At 42.4% G+C, this 18,112-nt stretch overlaps 1 protein-coding gene and 1 pseudogene across 4 annotated transcripts in view, besides 2 other annotated features; one reads left to right on the forward strand and one right to left on the reverse strand.

The window, feature by feature from the left end:
• NDC1 (NDC1 transmembrane nucleoporin) overlaps positions 1-13,667 on the reverse strand; it is a 72,819-nt gene extending 59,152 nt beyond the window's left edge. Inside the window, exons 1-5 of one of the 4 annotated variants that reach the window (NM_001168551.2) lie at positions 13,576-13,667; positions 10,871-10,991; positions 7,861-7,962; positions 3,370-3,424; positions 1,169-1,307 (exon numbers count right to left, since the gene is read on the reverse strand). In NM_001168551.2, coding sequence (NP_001162023.1) covers positions 1,169-1,307; positions 3,370-3,424; positions 7,861-7,962; positions 10,871-10,991; positions 13,576-13,632 — 474 coding nt within the window. In that variant the 5' untranslated portion in view covers positions 13,633-13,667. Of the gene's footprint in view, positions 1-1,168; positions 1,308-3,369; positions 3,545-7,860; positions 7,963-10,870; positions 10,992-13,277; positions 13,507-13,575 lie in introns of those variants that run through there. The other 3 variants (NM_018087.5, XM_011541766.3, NR_033142.2) reach the window with 3 other exon arrangements.
• Positions 13,421-13,550: a silencer, noted in NCBI's record as "silent region_912". NCBI's record gives its function as "represses an Ori minimal core promoter by ATAC-STARR-seq in GM12878 lymphoblastoid cells {active_cell/tissue: GM12878}" and the evidence as "EXISTENCE:reporter gene assay evidence [ECO:0000049][PMID:35858748]".
• Positions 13,661-14,140: an enhancer, noted in NCBI's record as "active region_1050". NCBI's record gives its function as "activates an Ori minimal core promoter by ATAC-STARR-seq in GM12878 lymphoblastoid cells {active_cell/tissue: GM12878}" and the evidence as "EXISTENCE:reporter gene assay evidence [ECO:0000049][PMID:35858748]".
• On the forward strand, positions 16,919-17,213 carry RPL37P7 (ribosomal protein L37 pseudogene 7; annotated as a pseudogene).

An 18,112-nucleotide genomic window follows, 5' to 3' on the forward strand; every position in this document is an offset into this window, starting at 1 on the left:
GCATCTGTGAGACATCTCAGCCACCTTTCCCTCTCCTGCCAGAGGAGTGCTTCTCAGTTCCAGGAATGACTCCTACCAGATTACATTTTTAAGACTTAACTGAAAGGTAGTTTATACTCTACCACTCAAACCAGCTGAAACTGTTTTATTTATACAAACTTTGCCTTGTTCTGAAAATGATAGGAGACAGTAAGTGATATGTTCTAAAATTACTTGCACATCCCCAAACTCACAAGGTTCTAAGTTCAAAAAGAAGCCAGCAGGCCATCCACGATGGCTCACACCTGTAATCCCAGCACTTTGGGAGATCAACACAGGCAGATAGCTTGAGCCCAGGAGCTGGAGACCAGCCTGGGCAACATGGAGAAACCCCATCTCTACAAAAAATACAAAAATTAGCCAGGCACAGTGGTGCACACCTGTAGTCCCAGATACTCGGGCAGACTGAGGTGGGAGGATGGCTTGAGCCAGCAGGTGATGCTGCAGTGAACCGTGACCACGCCACTGCACTCCAGCCTGGGTGACAGAGTGAGACTCTGTCTCAAAAAAGAAAAAAAGAGCAGCGGCTGGGCGTGGTGGCTCATGCCTGTAATTCCAGCACTTTGGGAGGCTGAGGTGGGGGGATTACTTGAGGTCAGGAGTTCAAGACCACCCTGGCCAATATGGTGAAACCCCGTCACTACTAAAAACACAAAAATGAACTGGGCGTGATGGCATGTGGAGGCTGAGGCAGGAGAATTGCTTGAACCCAGGAGGCGGAGGTTGCAGTGAGCCGAGATTGCGCCATTGCACTCCAGCCTGGGCAAAGAAGCGAGACTGTCTCCAAAAAAAAAGAAGCTACACAGAGTACTTTGCATGAATGTCATCATCATCTTCCCCAAACCCTGCTGGGTCACAGCAAGTGCCACTACCTAGCAGGGAGGGAAACAGTGTAGCAAAGAGGTATTCTGAGATTGGCAACAGGAAAAGGTAGCTGCAACTCTCAAAAATATGCTTAAGTCTCATGAAGACAAATCTCTTCTCGCTAAATGGCATTTTGAGGATTTCAGTTCTAAGTGTTGGTTATCAAATCTTGAATGAATCAGATAAATCCAGTTATATACATATGCACCAAGGCAATTTTACCTCAGCCAAATTTTGACATCAAGTAATGCTCAAATGATCTTACCTGTATGATGGGAAATGGAAGATAGTTCATGTTGTTAACAAAATACAGGAGGCTATAGCTATAGCCCATAAATGCTCCAGTCAGTAGGAAAAAAAGATGATATTCATTTAAGCAGGTTTGCGCAGCAGGGCTACCAAAGCTGAAGGGAAAAAATTAAGTTATTAATTCAACAGTCAGGGACATGTATCACTGTTTTAGGCTCAATGTTTACTGAAGGCAAAGCTTAATTACTTTAATGACTTAAGAAATGTCCCAAATTCTAACAAGATGGCTCGTTTTCAGTAAGTGTGAACAAGATTAACAAAACCTTTTTTCCTGAATCATGAGACTCTGATCTTTAATTAATTCTACCTCTGTTCCCCTGGAAATCTGACATGATTAAGTATATCTACCATAATAACAAGCAGTATTGCTTACAAGTGTCTGGGCTGACAGCAACTGTAAATAAGTTATATATACCTGATAGAGATGCCATAACATTGGGTTTGTGTTATCTCTTTAAAACTGAGTATTCCCTCACGGGGATCCTGTGCCCATAAAATTGCTACAAGAGATGCTACTGGATTTTGTGGGGCACAAGGCCTTTAAAGCAGATAGAGTCCCATACATGTCCGATACCGATTTTTTTTCCTCCTTGTAGCTGAGTGGTATCCACAGACAAGACTGCAGCTCCCAGGTGGCTATGGGACTTATCATCTGTTTGAACTGCCTGAAGGACTCCTGCTGAAGAGGAACTCCTGATGCTTCCCAAATCTAAGAGGATCCCCCTGCTGGACACTGCTTTAAGCCACTACCCTATCATTTTACAATAGCTTTAATTATAAGCATAAGATCTATTTGGTAAACAACAAGCTCTCAAACTCCTTTGAGAGTTTCTTGAGAATCTCTATGATCTATGAGATATCTGGGGGTATACAGAGCCAACATCAAAATTCAGTAGAACTCAATTTTTAATAGAGGCACACAGGTTGTAGGCCTGCCCCACCATCTAACTCCATGAGAGGTAAGACTCAAGGTTAACTGTTATCTGAACTCCGAGTTACAAAATGATGAAGATTAGTTTTGTTAAAGATTCTGACTGTGAAATCATCAGGAAATATATTTGTAATAGGCATTATAATGTCTTCAACAACTTGTAGCTTACTGCTGCCTTCTGCTCCCTGGAACTTCACTGCCACCTCCATTAGGAAGAGAAGTGCAAAAAGGAATTCAAGACTCATCCATGGTGAGCACTTGGGATTTCCTTTTTCATAGTAGTCCTGTACTCACAGTCTTTTATCATTTAATGTTTACCAACAGGACAGTTTTTACCAAAGAAAGCCTATGATATTAAGGGGGAAAAAACAACCTGCCTTATATAATAGTAGCTGGAGGCAAAAAGAAAATCAAGTATTCAGTAGTAATAATGTAACACTGTTTTAAAGTCAGTGGAAAATAGAGAACTTAAGATCACTCCAATCATCTTTGTTTAAAAAAAAAAAAAAAAAAAACAAGGTCTCACTATGCTGCCCAGGCTGGAGTGCAGGAGCTATTCACAGGCATAATCATAGGGCACTGCAGCCTCTAATTCCTGAGCTCAAGGGATCCTCCTGCCTCAGCCTGCCAAGCAGTGGGACTACAGGCACATGCCACCACTCCTGGCTTCCAGTAATCTTTTTTAATTTTTAAAGTCAGAATATCAATTTGCAATTAGTATCAATGCCATGTGTTCAAGAACTATACAAGTTTCAAAATTATAAAAGCACTCTATAAAAAGGCAGTTATAATTTTTAAAAATTTTTCTTCATTCTTTCCATACTACCCTTCCTTCAAACTCCAACCAAATGCTACCTCTTCCAAGAACATGTGTGGATCCCTCTTGTTTTCTGAACCTCCACAGGTTTTGTCTGCACATCTCACTTTCTTCATCCTATTACATCCCTCTGCATCCATGTCTTAATTTCTCTATTGTTCTCAACTCTCAAAGAGCTTATAGTCTATGTTTGAGTCACTCTCATAAATCGCATAGCACCTTGCACATAATAAATTTTTTTAATTGCTGAAATCAATAAACACAAAATATTAAAAACACTTGATATATGCAAAAAGCACCTTTTGCAGAAGTCTGGAAAGCAAAGAATACTCATAGGATTAACCTATATAGGTCACCTTTGGCTTAGTAAGTAAATGAGATTCCTAAGGAAATATATATTTAATATTACCTGTTAGTACCAGTGCAGGGAACCACAAGAAAGCTGTACTGGCCCTGGGTTATCACTGCAGCACACCAGGCCATCACCATTCCCATTGCAGCATGAATAAATGAGTGCATGAGTTGCTGAGGATGAATGATCTTCCCTATCAGAGCTAGTCTGGAGCAAGGAATAGAAGGCACAACTGCAAAGGAAACACATTACTGTGGCTTTATAACCTACAGCATATGCAGTTAGAGGATCTAAACTATCCCCTCTCATCCTTGCACAAATGTTCCAAAGGCAGAGAGAAATCCACAGTCAACGCAAATACAATACAGAAAAATTTAAAGTTAAAAATTCTAAGTTAAAAAAATTTGAGGAAAGCATGAATAAACAGACACAAAAAAACCCAAAGAATCTAGAGATGAAACCTAAGGACAGCATGATCAACATTTTTCATTAAAATTTCCTAATAGTTCCAATAGTGCCTATCCTAGTATTCTCCTAAGCACCATAAAAGAATAATGATTTTTTTTTTCATATATGGACTACTGTAATGGTCTTGCAGTGTGGGAGAGTGACTGGGTTCAGCTCCTGAATACTGACTTTTTATTTATTTATTTATTTATTTTATTTTATTTTATTTTATTTATTTTTGAGACGGAGTTTCGCTCTTGTTGCCCAGGCTGGAGTGCAGTGGCGCAATCTTGGCTCACTGCAACCTCTGCCTCCTGGATTCAAGCGATTCTCCTGCCTCAGCCTCCCAAGTAGCTGGGATTACCGGTGCCTGCCACCATGCCTGGCTAGTTTTTGTATTTTTAGTAGAGATGGGGTTTCACCATGTTGGTCAGGCTGGTCTCAAACTCCTGACCTCAGGTGATCCACCCACCTTGGCCTCCCAAAGTGTTGGGATTACAGGCACGAGCCACCATGCCTGGCCTACTTTTTAAAAAGAACTCCTGCCATCAGCATTTGAAACTGTCAATATATAATCCACTTACGAAAAATAAACCATAAAGTAGGTAAATACTGACAACATAAATGCTAAGATAAATGCTTATATAGGGATTTTTAATACCCTTCAGACAATCCAAAAACATTTTCTGCAAATGAGCTAGGGAGGCAACTATGGGTAGGACATGAGGGATGTTTACCTTTGGAAACAGCTAGCCTAGGGTTCCCTGATCTATCTATGTAGGTATTTTGCTCTTACTATACTCAAAGTAAAGAGATGGCAGGAGGTAGAAAATTAAGTATGAAGGGACAAGTTTCAGGTGCTTTATACTTTGAGGAAGAGGTTCCTATGACCTCTCCCTCCCAACCAGAAATGCCCACAAGGTCCTACTGACTGTGCAACTAACTTATAACACTCTAAATATACCAAACCCTCTCATGTCACTAAGCCTTTTTATATGCTATACCTTCTCTCTAGAACATCATTTTCCTTCTTTGTCTACTTAATTCAACTCATCCTGCAAGGCTTGGTTTAAGGATCATCTCCTCAAGTTCCCCCATGCTGGGGCAAGTGGTGCTCCTATACAAGCTCTTACCATCCAATGTACTGTAATCAAATATGCTTCATGTTTACTGTCTCTCCATTAATCACGATCTCTGGAGAAAGATGGGACCTATCATTTCTCTTTTCTCTCCACACAATGCATGGCATATAGTAAATGCATAAGGGATGGTTACTGAAGGAATGAGCCAAAGTGAATAGTCAGGCTTTAAGAAGGACTGGCTGGGGACCCCTCAACTGACATATTACATACAGAAGATGACCCAAGCATATGGGAGAGTATGAAAGAACACTCTGTTTAAGTGTGGCTGTAAGCCAAGGAGTTTCGAATAGGGCTTGCATGGAAAAAGCTTACTAGTCAATAGTGAGGAATTAAGAAAGCAGGCTGAGTGCAGTGGCTCATGCCTGTAATCCCAGCACTTTGGGAGGCCAAGGTGGGCAGATCATGAGTTCAGGAGTTTGAGACCAGCCTGGCCAATATGGTGAAACCCCACCTCTACTAAAAATACAAAAAATAGACGGGCGAGGTGGCAGGCAACTGTAATCCCAGCTACTCAGGAGGTTGAGGCAGGAGAATCACTTGAACCCGGGAGGCAGAGGCGTCAGCGAGCCAAGACCATACCACTGCACTCCAGCCTGGGCAACAGAGTGAGACTCCATCTCAAAAAAAAAGAAAGAAAGCGAGGCTGGGCCCAGTGGCTCACACCTGTAATCACAGCACTTTGGGAGGTCAAGGCAAGCGGATCACTTGAGGTCGGGAGTTCGAGACCAGCCTGACCAACATGGTGAAACCCCGTCTCTACTAAAAATACAAAAATTAGCCAGGCATGGTGGCATACGCCTGTAATCCCAGCTACTCAGGCGGCTGAGGCAGGAGAATTGCTTGCACCTGGGAGGTGGAGGTTGCAGTGAGCCGAGATCGTGCCACTGCACTCCAGCCTGGGCGACAAAGCTGGACTCCATCTTGGAGACCAAAAACAGAAAGCAAGCAAGGGAAAAGGATACGTATTGTAACATCCAAAGTCAGAATTTGAAATTTTACGCCAGATTTTACAAGGAAGTGTTGAAGAACTAAAAAGGCAAATGATGTAGGCTGGGCGCGGTGGCTCATGCTTGTAATCCCAACACTTTGGAAGGCCGAGGCAGGCCGATCACCTGAGGTCAGGAGTTTGAGACCTGCCTGACCAACATGGAGAAATCCCATCTCTACTAAAAATAGAAAAAATTAGCCAGGTGTGGTGGTGCCTGCCTGTAATCCCAGCTACTCAGGAGGCTGAGGTAGGAGAATCGCTTGAAACCGGGAGGCAGAGGTTGCGGTGAGCCGAGATCACGCCATTGCACTCCAGCCTGGGCAACAAGAGTGAAACTCCGTCTCAAAAAAAAAAAATTCCTCCCGGTCTGAGTATTCTATGATCCTACCGCATCTGTTTCTCTCAAAAAAAATAATAAATAGGCCAAGCATGGTGGCTCATGCCTGTAATTCCAGCACTTTGGAAGGCCAAGGCAGGCCGATCACGAGGTGAGGAGATTGAGACCATCCTGGCTAACATGGTGAAACCCCGTCTCTACTAAAAATACAAAAACAAAATTAGCCAGGCATGGTGGCGGGTGCCTGTAGTCCCAGCTACTTGGGAGGCTGAGGCGGGAGAACGGCGTGAACCTAGGAGGCAGAGCTTGCAGTGAGCCGAAATCGCGCCACTGCACTCCAGCCTGGGCGACAGAGCAAGACTCCGTCTCAAAAATGATAATAATAATAAAATAAATAAATAAACAGAATATTCATATAATCAATGAAATGTAAAATCTAAAACATGACATTATGATAAACTAATTTAAGGTTTAGACATGTTAGCACATATGGAACATGTACATTTAAAAAATTTTTTTTAAGTTTAAAAAAAGGAAAATGGGCTGGGTGCAGTGGCTCACGCCTGTAATCCCAGCACTTGGGAGGCCGAGGGCAGATCACAAGGTCAAGAGATCAAGACCATCCTGGCCAACATGGTGAAACCCCCTCTCTTCTAAAAATACAAAAATTAGCCGGGCGTGGTGGCGCGTGCCTGTAATCCCAGCTACTCCGGAGGCTGAGGCAGGAGAATCACTTGAACCCAGGAGGCAGAGATTGCAGTAAGCTGAGATCGCACCACTGCACTCTAGCCTGGCGACAGAGCGAGACTCTGTCTCAAAAAAAAAAAAGGAAAATGATGTTATAGTAAAAAAATAAGAGTCAGGAAAAGCTTCTTATTGTATCTTTTTTTCCTTATGTGAATCTGCCACAACTTGTATCTTAAAGGCAGTCTCAAGGAATCTGAAAAGGCAGAAAGAATATGAAGAGAAACAGAAAAATTAAAAGCTCTGGAATCCAGCAGGTGATTCTCCAAGGCAAAACATAAGTTTTTTTTTAATCACAGTATTATAGATTATTATATTTGAAAAAAAAACTTAGAAATCACCTGGTCTTCCCTATAAAGGAATTCTTTTCATAATGTATCTGCTAAATCACAGCTTTAATACTAGTTATGAACTATTAAAAGGTCTAAATTTTTTTATTGTGGTAAAATAATAAAATTCACTATTCGAACCATTTTTAAGTACACAGTTCTGCGGCATAAGTACACTCATATTGTTGTATAACCACTACCACCATCCAGCTCCCAAACTTTTCCATCTTCCACAACTCTACCCATTAAACAGCAATTCTCCACTCCCCCTCCCCCAGCGCCTGGTAACCAGCATTCTACTTTCTTTCTCTATGAATTTGAGTACTCCAGATACCTCGTATAAGTAGAATCATATAATATTTGTCCTAAAAAGTCTAAAAATATTTTTAAAACAGAAACTAGCACCCAAATAAATTTTAAGGTACAACATTTGAAGCATATGATTCTGTATACGTTTTTAAATTTTTGACACAAAACACATTCACATATAAAATGTACTAAGTCTTCCCTTAGTTAAATAAATTCGCATATTTCTAAGAAGGTTAACATTTGAAAACTCACCTGCATAGAACTCCACATTGAAAATACTTATTATTATTATTACCACTGACAGCAGCAGGAAGTAAAAGATTACATAGGAACTATACAGGTCACTGAAAGAATCTAAAACACAAGAGAGATGAATTAGTAAAGGTTATTCAGTCATGTAGTCACGTTCAGGACACTGCAATATAAAAAGAGCTTGAACCACAATTGTCATTAATTTTAAAGGTTATCTTTTCTTCAAGAATTTAATTGTACACCACTGACAGGTTCAATGAGATATCAACTCAAGAACTACAGTGTGGGCTGGGCATGGGGGGATCACTAAGCCAGGGAGCTCAAGACCATCCTGGGCACATGACAAAACCCTATCTCTACAAAAATACAAAGATAGCCAGGTGTGGTGGTGCACACCTGCAGTCTCCAGCTACTCAGGAGGCTGAAGTGGGAAGATCACTTGAGCCTGGGAGTTTGAGGCTGCAGTGAGCAGTGATCATGCCACTGCACTCCAGCCTAGGCAACAGAGAAAGACCTTGTTTCAAAAACAAAGGGGGGGAGAAAAAAGGAGTTACAGTGTGAGTTATTCGTACCTGGCCCCAGGTACTTTAAAATTATACTACAATTTCTTAAATGACCCAGTTAACATCAGACAAAACACTAGAACATGGCAAAACTTTCTTTCTTTCTTTTCTCTGTCTTTCTTTCTTTCAAGACAGAGTATTGCTCTGTTGCCCAGGCTGGAGTGTAGTGGCTCAATCTTGGCTCACTGCAATCCGCCTCCTGGGTTCAAGCAATTCTCCTGCCTCAGCCTTCCAGTAGCTGGGATTACAGATGCCCGCCATGGCTATTTTTTGGGTTCTCACTATGTTGTCAAGGCTGGTCTCAAACTCCTGACCTCAAGTAATTCACCCACCTCGGCCTCCCAAAATGCTGGGATTACAGGTATGAGCCATCACACCCAGCCACGCATATGCAAATATTTAATCATGTGAAAGAGAAGTATCATCTTTAGTAATATACCAACAAAGTTTTTTCTTAAAATATAAAGAATACTTTTCAGATCTCTTCTTCATAAATGCAATTACCTCATATAGCTAAAGTAACATTTTTGGAAATAGAATAAGCCATACATTACATCATCTAAACGAGCGGAACTCAAAAACAAAAAAATCAGGATGCCCCCATGAAATACTAATACATTCACATTTTAGAGTAGTTCAACAATCGATATTCCATCTCAAAGTTTAAAATATATATATATAATGCCTAAAAATATGAATGAAATAAAAATAAGAGCATGTTTGCTAAGACTTAAAAATTAACCACTTATTTTTAAAAGTACAATTCATTGACCTAAATTTTTTTTTTTTTTGAGATGGAGTCTCACTCTGTCACCCAGGCTGGAGTGAAGTGGCGTGATCTCAGCTCACTGCAGCCTCCACCCCCCACTCCCCCTTTAAGCAATTCTCCTGCCTCAGCCTCCCGAGTAGCTGGGACTACAGGTGCATGCCACCACACCCAGGCTGGTCATAAACTCCTGAGCTCAGGCAATCCGCCCGCCTCAGCCTCCCAAAGTGCTGGGATTACAGGGGTGAGCCACCACACTCGGCCCATTGACCTAAATTAATGAGGAATATTTACTAAGCATCTACAATTAAACCCAAGCTTCTGATGAGGAAAATGGCATAAATCAAATCCAACCTGCAGAGAAAGTGTGATGAGGATTAAAAAACCTCTGGCCATGAAATGGCAAAAAGTTTTTGTCCCCAGTGCCAATTGTGAACAATTGGTAATGGCTCTCAAATACAAGATTGAGTACTCTAAGGTTGCCACCAGAGAGCCATGATCAGTGAGTGAAGCAGACACAGGTAAGGTGGCTATAGAAATATTTGCTATGCCTGTGCTGGCTTATGGCTTAATTTCACCTGACCAGTGGGACCTATCGAAAAAGTGATGGACGTACGTCAACAAGAAACTTAACACCAATATCTCCAAAGGTCATGGGTAAAGAGTCCAACTCCTTGAAAACTGGCATTTTCTTGTGAAAAACGAAATTAAAAACTCAACTTCCCACTTTACAAGGCAAAAGAAAGACCAATTTTCAATCCTAAATCAGTTACTCACTAGCTGGGTGTCTCTGCATGGATTATTTAACCTGAATCTCAGTTATCCCATTTATAAAGTAGAAAGTACCTCTTAACTACACAGAGTTACAGGAAGGATAAGAAGTAATATATGTAAGGAGCTGGCACACGGTAAACAGGCAATAATGGGTAGTTATTAACAGAAAACAAGTTAATTTTAATACATTTAGTAATTTTACTTAGTCTCTAAGGAATTTAAGGAACATTTTAGGCCAGGTGCGGTGGCTCACACCTGTAATCCCAGCACTTCGGGAGGCTGAGGCAGGTGGATTGCTTGAAGTCAGGAGCTCAAGACCAGCCTGGGTAACGTGGCAAAACCCCGTATCTACTAAAAATACAAAAATCAGCCGGGCGTGGTGGCGCGTGCTGAGGCACAAGAATTGCTTGAAGATGGGAAGCAGAGGTTGCAGTGAGCCAAGACTGAGCCACTGCACTCAGCCTGGGTGACAGAGCAAGACTCTGTTTCAAAAAAAGAAATCAAGTGCTCTTAATTTTAGACGTATTTTTAAAAGAGGTACATGTCATATTTTCTACCCACAATTTCGAATCGATGACAGGAACCATTCTGTATTTTAAAGAGACAAACAATCTCAATAAAGCTGCCCAAAGGAAAAACAAATGAAACTAAGTTTTCATTTATGGGGTCTTCTAATGATCTTTTCGTTCCTATGATCACAGTCTTTGACAAGCTTATTAATCTTATTACATAATAAAAAGGTGATTTATGTTACGAAGGAGACATCTTAAAATTATCTCAAAGTGAATGTTTTGATGTGTCAATATAACATAGGCAGTAATTGAAAATAAACTGCTTGAAACATAATGCAATTTTTATGTTGAGAAGTAGGTCCTATAACTTTCTCCCCAAGTTGAGTATCACCTACCAGACAGCCACTGTATAGGATGAAACAAATCAATCCTGCTGAAAATTATAAATACTGTGGTGCAGATGGGTAGAAATAGCACTGACCAAACAATACTTGCAACTATCCTCCAGCCCAAAACCTATAAACAAAAAGAAAAACCCTCACTCATGAAGTCAGTTAAATTATTTCAGTTATGCAAATCCTATCTTTTCATACAGGATGTTAACCACTAACTCAGATCATAATCCGTAACTCAAACATTCACTACTAGTAATAACATTACGTACCACTAAAGAATTTATAGTATCAGTGAGCTGATGCCTGCATTAGTACAAAGTTAGGTGCAACATCAAATATCATACTTTGTATGAGGGGTGGTGGGCATTGATTTACAGCTGTTTTAGAGCAACTAATACTTGTCTCTCTAGGCTTAATTGATAGCTATATTAATATATAAAGGCTGTACACATTTTATGGGAACCACCTGTATACTGTAACTGTATTTATAATCATCAGATATGAACCTTTACTGGGCAACTACGGCACTGTAGCATTCTATTCATGTTTGAATTGCCCGTATCTATCATATAGGAGGAAAATATTTACTGCTGAATAATACAAGAAGATATAGAGGGGTTTTAAGCATGAAAGTGACAATCAAATTCATGTTGCTCAAGGTAAAACATGTCTGTTTACTGAAAGCTGGCTTTAAGGAAGATGGAGGAGTTGGGACACGAACCAAACCAGAGACAATGCAGTTAGGAGGCAGTCCACCAAAAAGCTGAGGCCGGGCGTGGTGGCTCACATCTGTATCCCAGCACTTTGGGAGGCCAGGGTGGGCGGATCACTTGAGGCCAGGAGTTTGAGACCAGCCTGGCCAACATGGTAAAACCCTGTCTCTATAAAAAATTTTTTAAAAATTAGCCAGGCATCATTCCAGCCCGGGCAACAGAGCAAGACTCTGTCTAACAAAAAAAAAAAAAAAAAAGAATAAAGTTGAACTCCTATCCCACATTCTTTTTGATGTTGTGATTTTGAGACAGCTCGCTCTGTCCCCCAGGCTAGATGCAACAGTGCCATCTCAGCTCACTGCAACCTCCTCCTCCCGGGTTCAAGTGATTCTCCTGCCTCAGCCACCTGAGTAGCTGGGGTTACAGGTGCCCGCCACCACACCTGACTAATTTTTTTTTCAGTAGAGATGGGGTCTCGAACTCCTGACCCCAAGTGATCCTCCCACCTCAGCCTCCCAAAGTGTTAAGATTACAGGCGTGAGCCACAGCGCCCAGCCTCCTATCCCACATTCTATACAAAAATTAACTCAAAATGGATTAAAGACCTACATGTAAGAGCTAAAACTATAAAACTCTTGGAAGAAAACATAGGAGTAAACCTTCATGATCTTGGATTTGGCAATGGTTTCTTAGATATGACACCAAAAGCATAAGCAACAAAAGAAAAATATAGATAAATTGGACATCAGCAATATTTAAAACTTTTTTGCTTCAGAAGACACTGTCAGCCAAGTGCGGTGGCTCACAAGTGCCAAAGGTGGCAACAACCCAAATACCCACATACTGATGAATGGATAAACAAAATATGTGGTATGTCCATACAGTGGATTATTCAGCCACAAAAAGGAATGAAGTACTCATGCATGCTAAACATACACCAGGCACGATGGCATGCACCTGATGTCCCAAATAGTTAGGCGGCTGAGGCAGGAGGACTAGTTGAGCCCAGGAGCTCAAGACCAGGCTGGAGAAGATATCGTATCTCTATTATAAAAATAATTTTTAAAAAAATTTTAGAGGCCAGGCACGGTGGCTCACGCCTGTAATCTCAGCACTTTGGGAGACCGAGGCGGATGACTCACTTGAGGTCAGGAGTTCAAGACCGGCCTGACCAACATGGTGAAACCCCATCTCTACTAAAAATACAAAAATTAGCTGGGCGTAGTGGTGCGTATCTATAATCCCCGCTCCTCGGGAAGCTGAGGCAGAACTCCTTGAACCCTGGAGGCGGGGGTTGCAGTGAGCCGACAACGCGCCATTGCACTGCAGCCTGGGCAACAGGGAGCGAGCCTCCGGCTCAAAAAAAAAAAAAGATAAGACTTACGGACCCAAAAGTTTTTAGTTTGGAATACAGGGGAGATGGCAGTGCACTGGGATAGAAGCACTTTTCCAAAAGGGATCTTTCTCCTCTTTCTCTTTGCACTCCAGAGAAGCGATGTAGTACTGTTAATTCCGTAACTTTAAGGAGGAAGTACTATTCCACTCAGCTCAGTCCCATTCTACCTTACAAAGAACACCTGCCCTGCTTACTGGACCCTAACCCCAGCCTCTACTAATGCCACATTTCTTTCCAATTCCGTGCATTCCTTCCCACTTCTTAACGAAACAAATTAAGTTATTTATTTTGCACCTACTGGATACGGTACCCTTGCGTAAAACTCCGCCTCACTCCCTATTCCAATTTCCATTCAGTCCATCCGTCCCACTCTGACCAGCTTCCTTCCACTCAGGACCCCTCTCCTACCCCGTAACCAACTTCCACTCAGGACTTCCCACAACCCTGCAATCAGTCCCCCAAGTGGTGCCTTCCCCACGCGTTCTCTCCACGCTGCCCCGGGACCGGCCCTCCCCCGCCCAGCGCGCACGCGCGATCAGAGCTTGCCCGCCCGGCCCGACCCTGGCAGTGCGTGCCACAGTGCACGCCGCACTCACGCGCCACAGTATGTCCCGCGACCTGCCGGCGCAGGGCCGGCTCACGGCCGTGGCCATGGAGATGGCGGCCCCTAGTCTAGGGCGTACAGGAGACCGTGCGCCCGCCCGCCACCGCAGTTCAAAGGCAGGAAGGCCCCAGGAGGACCCTGCTGGGTCTGCCTCAAACGCTGCCTGAGCGAAGCCCGGCCCAGGCTCCAACCCATCCCTGCGAGGCTTCGTCTGGACAAGCTCAACAGGCCAGGACTGCCGCGCAGACACGTCCCGCAAACGCGGCTGTAACTCCAGGAACCGCCCTCTGGCGACCAAACGGTCCCTTCGAAGCAGGGTCCAGCGGGGCGCCAGAAGCAGGTGGCGGCGCTGCATGCTGGGAACTGTAGTCTCGACGGCCCCCTGAGAGGAAGTAGGAGGAATGTTGCATTCTGGGACTCGGAGTTCCAAAGTACAGAATGCTGGGAGTCAAGGTCTTCCTGGAGGTGCCTTGAGGCATGCTGGGAATAGTAGTCTTTTATAAAGCCGATAACAGCCACAGTATTGATTGACTGGAATTCTTCAGTTAGAGCTAGCAAAATGATCTGCCCTCATTTCTCCCTATTACTTTATAAGTCACCTAAAAGTGAAACCAAAGGATGTGGTGGTCTTCTCCACAATAGGTACGCAGTAATTTTACTGAAATAAAAAAAAAATTCTCTAGAGATGCCTTTGGTTTCATAAAATCTGGTTTCTACTTCCAGATCTGCCACTTGCTAAATTGAATATTTTTATCTTCTCTGAGCCTCCATTTCTTCAACAGTAAGATAAGGATGAAAATAAAAATATCCTGGTGATGTTGTGAGGATGTAAATAATATGCTATACAAATGTTATCATTAATATACTGCCAGTAAGAAAAAAGGTGTTTCACCAACCCAAGTTTCACCTAATGAAGTCTTCTCAGTGCTTTAGACCTCAGTGAGATCTCTGGATGCATATCGCTAACGCCTTTTTATGCTCAATCACATGCCACAGTCAACATGCAATACTCAAGACAGAAATAGATTCAGTGATTTACTGACTAAGGAAATGCATAGGCTGGTGAGAGGAATTGAGATCACACCTACTGCTCTGCAACGTTTGCTAACAATGGCTTCCTGAATGCTTTAAGATTATATCCTATTCACTTCCAAAATCATGTTACTATCAATCATGTCTAAAGCACTGTAGGACAAACTGGGAATACAACTGATAGATCAAGTCTCTGCCGTGAAGAGATCTATCCGGTGGTGGAGAAAACTTGTAAAGAATTAGTCCAGGCCAGGCACAGTGGCTCACACCTGTAATCCCAGCACTTTGGGAGGCCAAGGCAGGAGGATCACAAGCCAGGAGTTTGAGACCAGCCTGGGCAACATAGTGAGACCTCATCTCCACAAAAACAACAACAACAACAACAACAAACTTTTTTTTAAATTAGCCGGGTGTAGTGGTGCACACCTGTAGTCCAAGCTACTCCATAGACTGAGGCAGGAGAATTGCTTGAACCTGGGAGGTTCAGGCTGAAGTGAGCAGTGATGGCGCCATCACACTCCAGACTGGGCCATAGAGTGAGACCCTGTCCAAAAAAAAAAAAAATCAGTCCAAATGCGTGTTCATAAAGACACCTCAGGTTCTAAGGTTCTTGTGGTAGAGACTACTCGTTGTCTGCCTCAATATCTATTCTCCCCTTCTTTCATAATAATTGAACTCCCAGTTTTTTAACTGGGCATATAGTTATATTTCCCAGCCTCTTTTGCAGCTAGGTATGGCCAGCTGACTGAGTTCAGGCCAATAAAATATAATCAAAGTATTGCATGGTAGCTTCCTAGAAACCCCCTTAAAAGGGAGCTACTGCATGATGGTCTTTGCCTCTTCTTAATCCCATCCTCCATTCAGCTGCCTGGATTTGGGATGTGTTGGCTGCAGCTCTAGCACCATACTGGACCACAGAAAGGGGGTCACACTGTAGGGAAAATGAAGTACTGAGCCTAAAGGAGACTTGATTATTTATGGCAACCATATCAGTTCTAGGCTACCTGCCTTTACCTCCTAATTTCATTTACACAAGAGAGACAATTATTTATTGTTTAAGCCACATCTATTTTTTTTTTTTTTTGAGACAGAGTCTCACTCCTTTGCCCAGGCTGGAGTGCAGTGGCATGATCTCAGCTCACTGCAACCTCCGCCTCTCGGGTTCAAGTGATTCTCCTGCCTCAGCCTCTTGAGTAGCTGGGATTACAGGCGCATACTACCATGCTGGCTAATTTTTGTATTTTTTAGTAGAGACGGGGTTTTGCCATGTTGGCCAGGCTGGTCTCAAACTCCTGACCTCAGGTGATCTGCCTGCCTCAGCCTCCCAAAGTGCTGGGATTACAGGCATCAGCCATCGCATCCAGCCTCTGCTTCTGTTTTTATAGCACCTATCACAGTCTTAAATCATCTTGTTTGTTTACTTCTTATTGTCTGACTTCTCACTAATATACAGACTTCACAAGAGCAGGGACTTTGTCTTGTTTATCATCGCTTCCAAAGTACCCATTACATTAGTAAGTAATAAATGAATTTTTATTTAATGAATAATGAATGAGTGGAAGAAATTAACTATATTGGACAGTGTTTCTTCAGGACAAAAACTTTTGATACCTATATCAAAGGGGGATTTAATGCAGGGAATTGATAACAAAGTTGTTGGAGAGGCTAAAAAAGCATAGGAAAGAAAGAACGGGGCTGTAGTAGCTAAGAGCAGAATGGAGTTACTGCCCAAATACCAGGAAGCTACTGCTTCCATTTAGAGCCATGAGACAACACTGAATGCTGAGCTGCTGAGGGTGGTGCCCCTGCTGCTGTTAGAACCACTCTGTTGATTTGAGCACCCTGTAGCTGCTGAAAGCACCACCCAGAAGTGCCTGCAACTATCCAAAGTTGCTCTCTGAGCCTTTGAAAGCCATAACCTGGCCGAGTGTGGTGGCTCACACCTGTAATCCGTTTGAATTACTTTGGGAGGCCAAGGTGGGCGGATCACAAGGTCAGGAGATTGAGAACATCCTGGCCAACATGGTGAAACCCCGTCTCTACTAAAAATACAAAAATTAGCTGGGCATGGTGGCACATGCCTGTAGTCCCAGCTACTCAGGAAGCTGAGGCAGGAGAATAGCTTGAACGAGGGAGGTGGAGGTTGCAGTGAGCTGAGATCGTGCCACTGCACTCTAGCCTGGAGACAGAGTGAGACTGCATCTCAAAAAAAAGAAAAGAAAAGAAAAAGAAAGCTATAAACTAATTATTTGAAATAGAATAAATTTTTTAAATGATACAAGACCTCTTTGGTCTCAGCCACAAAGGGAACACCATCGTTTGGAAAGCATTGCAGTAAGACACACATGTTGTGCTGCTGCTGTGCCCCTAAGGCCTATGCCCTTCAGTAGTCAACCTGTGGCACATGTGCCACCTTGCCAAGCACAAGAGGAAGTAACACTGGAGTACCAATGCTGAAAGATGAAATACCACCAGGACTAGTCAAATGAGGCACCTAAAAAGTGTATACCACAGATTCAGGCAGGGATTCCGTGAAGGAACAACACCTAGACCTAAGACGGCAGCTGTTGCAGCATCCAGTTCATCTTAAGAATTTCACTCCAGCCTGGGCAACAAGAGTAAAACTCTGTCTCAAAAAATAAATAAATAAATAAAAGGAAAAAAAAGAATTTTGATGGTTAGTCACCCAATAAATGTTCTGGTTGGCCGGGCGTGGTGGCTCATGCCTGTAATCCTAGCACTTTGGGAGGCTGAGGCAGGTGGATCATTTGAGGTCAGGAGTTCAAGAACAACCTCGCCAACATGGTGAAACCCCATCTCTACTAAAAATACAAAAATTAGCTGGGCATGGTGGTGGGAGCCTGTAATCCCAGTTACTTGGGAGGCTAAGGTAGCAGAATTACTTGAATCTGGGAGGCAGAGGTTGCAGTGAGCCAAGATTGCGCCACTGCACTCCAGCCTGGGTGACAGAGTGAGACTCTGTCTCAAAAAAAAAAAAAGTTCTGGTTTTTAAAAATTAAAAAAAAAAAAATGATACAAGACATGAAGAACAATACCAGTTAGTATTAGAAAAACTCAGAAATTATGTGATAGAACTCAGGAAAGAAATCAAAATTTAAACAATTATTATAAAATGGAAGTTGAATTAGAAGAGCAAAGAAACACAACAGTAATGTCATAACAAACGAAGAACTTTTATAATCAAAAAAGGAATAAAGAAACAAAAACAATTTTAAGTGACAAATAGAGAAAATAGGCAAAGAAGATCTAACATATGAATAATGGGAGTCCCTGAAGACTCTGGAATCTCATTTTAAACCATCACTGTCTCGCCCAACAACACACAAGGATGTGAGAATTCCTTTCTGTTTTTAAATTGCCCTAATATTTTTAAATGAGTTGTCATTTTCCCGAAGTTTTTACTACAAAATTTTCACTTGTTGCATAGCCTTTAATACTTTATAGCCTAAAAAATATAAAGGGTGGTGGTAGCAAAC

Source organism: Homo sapiens, chromosome 1 (genome assembly GCF_000001405.40).
Source record: "Homo sapiens chromosome 1, GRCh38.p14 Primary Assembly".
Classification (NCBI taxonomy): domain Eukaryota; kingdom Metazoa; phylum Chordata; class Mammalia; order Primates; family Hominidae; genus Homo; species Homo sapiens.